Source organism: Homo sapiens, chromosome 10 (assembly GCF_000001405.40).
Source record: "Homo sapiens chromosome 10, GRCh38.p14 Primary Assembly".
NCBI classification, from domain to species: Eukaryota; Metazoa; Chordata; class Mammalia; order Primates; family Hominidae; genus Homo; species Homo sapiens.
In genome coordinates this window covers 128,625,026-128,630,417 of record NC_000010.11, presented here as the reverse complement: position 1 = coordinate 128,630,417, position 5,392 = coordinate 128,625,026, and the positions used below count along the sequence as shown (strand labels likewise).

General features: G+C 49.2%; 2 annotated features.

Moving 5' to 3' along the window:
- Positions 374-1,573: an enhancer, noted in NCBI's record as "MED14-independent group 3 enhancer chr10:130427109-130428308 (GRCh37/hg19 assembly coordinates)". NCBI's record gives its function as "activates an origin of replication core promoter dependent on BRD2, BRD4, P300/CBP and CDK7 cofactors, and independent of MED14, by STARR-seq in HCT116 cells {active_cell/tissue: HCT116}" and the evidence as "EXISTENCE:reporter gene assay evidence [ECO:0000049][PMID:35650434]".
- Positions 3,835-4,032: a silencer, noted in NCBI's record as "fragment chr10:130424650-130424847 (GRCh37/hg19 assembly coordinates)". NCBI's record gives its function as "represses an EF-1alpha promoter that drives an FKBP-Casp9 reporter gene in an ReSE screen in HepG2 liver carcinoma cells {active_cell/tissue: HepG2}" and the evidence as "EXISTENCE:reporter gene assay evidence [ECO:0000049][PMID:32094911]".

The window sequence follows — 5,392 nt, the reverse complement described above, 5'->3', positions numbered from 1 at the left end:
TTGGGTGGGGACACAGGCAAACAATATCAAGGAATTTGAGCGAGGTCCCTTCCAGCACCTTTGAATTGACAGTGTTTGAGCACCTGCTGCCTAGTCTTAAAGTGTGAATTTGGCCACATGACAACACATTTTGATAAATAAAAACACGGGCTTCATAAATCTTGTATGGACATGAGACATGTAAAAATATTTTTTCCATTTGGTTAAATGAACATTTTCATCTGCAGAGAGAGGCTTTATAAATTCTAAAGCTCAGTAGCCATGTGGCCTAAATTACATTAATGTTTAAGTTATTCAATAGCAAATGTCTACACTTCACAGTTAATTTCGGGATGTCCCCAGAATCTGTCCTATCTTCTCTGTGATGTAGGCAAGGTGAGATTAAGCTGGCTGACTTCGTTGAAGGAAAACAAGAAACCAGCCTCTGCCTCTCGGGTCCCTGAGTCAGGCCCTGGTTCCTGGACAGAGTGGGCGGGCCTTGGATGCTGATAATTGAAGGCGGCACCTCCGGAGGAGACGGTGACTCCTGCAAAGACGTCTGGTGGGAGTCCAGTCTTATAGAGAGGTGAGGGCCCTGCCAGCCCACGGCCCCAGGATGTCAGTCACTCAGCTGTTTCTCTTCTCAGACAGGCAGGGCCGGCGAGCTCTGGCCATTCCTGGGTTGGGTGGCTCAGAGAGCCAGTAGACATGTCACAGAAGCCAGGGCCCCCGGAGTGGCACCATCTGGCCCAAGGCTCATGTTAATACAGCCAGCACTAGCCACCCGGAACTGCAGGGGACACTCCAGCAGGGACACTCCTCTGGGCCTCTGAGTCAGAGCCACCTTCTTCAAGAAGATGCAGGCCTCCCCTCACCACTGACTCTTTGCTCTCCCTCCAGCAGGGGTGAGTCATGCTGTCACTTGCAGGTTCAGACTGGACAAAGTGGTGTGGGTGACTCACCTGGATGAAGACCAGGACATGGGGTGTCATTTCCTATTTATCTGTAATACAGATGAAAACCCAGGACGTGTCCAACGAGCACGGACAAGGACACTCATTACTAGCCGGTAGGGAAAAGCAAATTAAATAGGCAAATTCATAGAGACAGAAAGTAGAAAAGAGGTTGCCAGGGCCTGGGGGAGGGGGAACAAAGAGCACTTTCAATGATAGTTAATGTCTGGGAAGATGAGAAAGTTCTGAAAATAGGTAGGTGGTGATGGTTACATAACATTGTGAATGTACTTAATGCCACAGAATTATACACTTAAGGTGATTAACATGGAAAATTTTATGTTATGTATCTGTTATCACAATTATTTTTTTTAATCCCAGGGCAATGCGACATGGGAAAACTCATGAAAGTGGCCCACAGAGCCACTTTGTGGCTGGTCCCTCTCTCAGACCCCATCCCTGTGTCCTCAACTTCTTCATCTTTGCTGGTTTCATTCCCTCCCTCAAGCCCAGAAACAAACAGTTTCTCCTACAAAAAAGAGGAAAATTAAGTTCCTGTGGAAACTTCACCACCTGTTAAAAAGCTGAGGGAGGGCCTGGCCCTATTTGCCGTGCAAGTGTGTCCGCAGGACCTGCTTTTAGAACATGCCGATTCGCCCCGGAAATGCAGGTGTGGCCTTCTCCCACAGGTACAGGGACAGGCACTCATGGGCCCAGAGGCATCTGGGGCTAAAGGTTGTGTTTGTTTTTATTACATATTAGCCATTGTCATCCCCCTCGCGCCCCCTCAAAATAGACATCTGATTATCACCAATTTAAAACCAGCTTTTCCTCTCACTAAAAATTCAGTATGAAGCCATTGTAGTAGAATTCCTCTCACATTCCGAGGCTTGCAGAAGAGAAAAATATCAATAAAAATCATGTGAAACGTCCACAATAGATCAATTCAACCAAAGTGGCCAGATTCTATGCTATTAGTCTGTGCGAGGTTTATCTGGTTTTCCATGAAGCATTCCCTTTTCCTGAAGAACACAATCATGGCTATAAAGTCATTTATCGGGCACTGCTCAAGGCATCTCCAATCACACGTCATAGTTTATGAAATGCCGTGAAAGGCACAGTGAGGTGCTTTTCCAAATGGTAAAGGCCAATTTTATGCAATCACATCCCAAAGTACAGGCTACATTTTTCTTCCCTAAACTCCTTTAGCATATCTTTTTATTTGGCCATTATTCTCAGTAGTCATTACAGATCGTCTCAGTAAATTAACCTTTTCACATTGTAATCAGCCCAACAAGGATTAAAGGTCCTCGCATAGCACACAGGAAGGACAAATGGGAAGTGGGGCTCTCGGTCATACTCCAGCACGGCTCCAGCGGCTCTGTCCGCTGGCTTGCTCAGAAATGTGGGCCTGGTGGGTGTTGCTCCGCTCTTTGCTTGACAGGGTCTCTCAGCTGTGCAGTGACTCTCCAGCCTGGGCCAAGGGCAGGCTGCCTCTACATCAGAACATGACCTCCACATCAGTCCCCTGCCTCTTCCTCCCCTCATCCCCATCTCCCTTCCCACCCTTTTCTTCAGCCCATCACTCAGTCTTGATGCCTCTTCATGAAGTCTCCTCCACCTGCCACTCCTTCCCCTTGCTACTACAGCCACTCTCCGATCCCTTCTGCACTGCACCTTGAATGACCCTCCAGCGTGCCCCTGCTGACCCTGGCCTGCCATTTGCCACATTCCCTGCCTACTGGGTCATGGCTTCTTCTTCTTTTTTTTTTGAAATGGAGGAGTCTTACTCTGTCGTCCAGGCTGGAGTGCAGTGGCACGATCTCTGCTCACTGCAACTTCTACCTCCAGGGTTCAAGCGATTCTCTTGCCTCAGCCTCCCAAGTAGCTGGGACTACAGACATGCACCACCGTGCCTGGCTAATTTTTGTATTTTTAGTAGAGATGGGGTTTCACCATGTTGGCCAGGCTGACCTCAGGTGATCCTCCCACCTCAGCCTCCCAAAGTGCTGGGATTACAGGCGTGAGCCACCGCGGGTTGTGGCTTCTATTTACACTGGCTCCATGCCTCATGTCACCACACTCTCACTCCTCCCATACACGTGTTCCTCCAATGCCAGGTCTTCTATAGAACTCCAGGAACACCTGCAATCTCTTTGCCTTTATCTCTCCACTTTACCTACTCAAAACACTTTTTGTCCTCAGGTGCAGCCCTCTAGGTCTTTTGTTGTTTCCTGGCCCACCTGAAATGGCACCACTCCCAGAGGCTTCCCTGCAAGCAGCTGATGGTTGCTACCGCCCACCCCTGGCTCTCCCCGCCCGCACTCCCCAGAGGCCAGCCTTCAGAGTTGCAGATTCATACTGGGTCCTGTGCATTCTCAACTTTCCTTTTGTCTTTACAGGCACCACACACTAAAAAGAGAAAGTGAATACAAGCCCAAAACACATTTTCTTCTTCAGTTAAAACTCAAGCAAACGAATTCAGGCAAGTAATCCTTACAGGTGTCACCTTCCCGCGTCTCCACAGGAAGAGGATTGGGTGTCCCATTAGAGTGTAGGTGGAAGCCCTGCTCCATTCACATTCCACTGGATCCTGAGACAAGTAAATCCTTACAGGTGTCAGGTTCCTGCATCTCCACAGGAAGAGGATTGGGTGTCCCAACAGGGTGTGGGTGGAAGCCCTGCTCCATTCACATTCCAGCGGGTCTTCCCTGAATGCTCCCTTCCCTGGCCCATGAAGGTTACTGTGGGTCACAGCATGTGAAGCTCAGACTTTGCATAAGAAATGAAATACTTTTATTTCTAGATCTTTCATCAGCTGAGTGAGTGAAAGCAAAGCCCTCATCATAGGCCCTTGATCCTAAATGAGCCAGAGTCACAAAAAAGGAGCCTCAGATTCTTGTGTGGCCATCAGCCCGCACAGAGGTCCCCAAACTCAACAGCACATGCCAGAGCCCAGGGAGGAGGATACAGCAGGAATGGCAGGAAAATGCATTGCCACATGCTAAGTGTAAAAAGTCATCCGTGTTGGAGGAAGGTAAAGTTTTCTGTGAGATGACGGAGGGCAGTTCTGGCTGAGGAGAGGACACAGCATCAGGTAACACCCAGCATGGAGCTCCTGCTCATGATGGGGAGACATTCAGCCAACTTCAGAGCATCCCATCAGCAGTCACTACTCATAGGACCCAGGTCAGGGTGCCATCCGCAGACTGCACGTTTTCAGGTGGCTGGGGCCCATCCACGAGCTTGCTAGCAGTTCCGACAGTTGAATCAGGGCTGCCTGTATGAGGCTGAGAGATGGGAAACATGTGCCCGACACCTTTCTTTTTCTATGGTGAGAGTCTTCCCTGCTGGGCAGTGAGGAGGAAAACATAAGCTTGTCCCCACAGAATTCTTCCTCGGTGGGATGACTCAGGATCTTTGTGGGAAATGCTCATAATTTTGAAATCCTGGCTTCTCCCTTCTATACTTCATGGGGTTGAGGGGTCAGCCTGTGTGTGAGCACGTCAAGGTGGGGTAACTGTGCAGCCTGTCCTACTCCCTGCTGCAGAGAGACCCCCAGGTCTGTCCCCGGTCTGGTATCTGCTGATATGTCTTTGCCTTGCTAAACTCTCTGACCCCAGATTTTCTTTTCTTTCTTTCTATTTATTTATTTATTTATTTATTATTTTTGCCATTTTCAACTCCAGGCTTTTATTGACCAACTGACTCTCTCCCCATATCTCTAAGGCATTATCTACTAGGGCTTTGGGAACTTCAGGGTCCCCTGTGTCCCCTGCACAGCCAGAAGGGATCCGGGAGTCCTGCCACTGGCTCCCTTTGTAGCCAGCTGGCCCACCCTGCCAGGCAGCCTCTGTGCACCGTGTTGGTTGTCAACTTCTAGAGGCCAAAAGCCCTCCCCAGGGAGGGCCAGCACAGCAGGCCACACTGGCCACATTCTAGCCTGTCACCACACCTGCATGCTAGGCCCAGGGACAGGGAGATGGCAGGATCCTGGCCCCGACACCCTCACCACACTGGATCTACTGCATCCCGAACACCCCTCCAACCCACACAGGAAGCACTTCCTTTCCTTCCTGGGTGATAAAGAATTTCTGTACCCCACATCCTGAGACAATTCCATCCCAGGCTTATGGAAAAGTTCCATGATCTCATCCAGCAGGCCCAGCCCTTTGCATAGCAACTAAAGGAATTTAGTAAATCCTTCTCTCTCCCAATCTAGCATGGCTTTCAAAACCTTTGCTTGCTAGGGACTCACAAATCCTATTTGCCAGTCAAAACTGAAAAATGACTTTGTTTTCCTAGCCGGTCTATGCCAGCCCTTCCCTTGGAACACTAAAACCCACTCTCCCCAAGGCAAGGAGCCCGAGGACAGCACGATTTATAGGTTATGAAAATTCATTTGAAAATATGTTTTAAAATATTATCCCCATTACGTGGGAGGACGAGGGTGTCAGTGA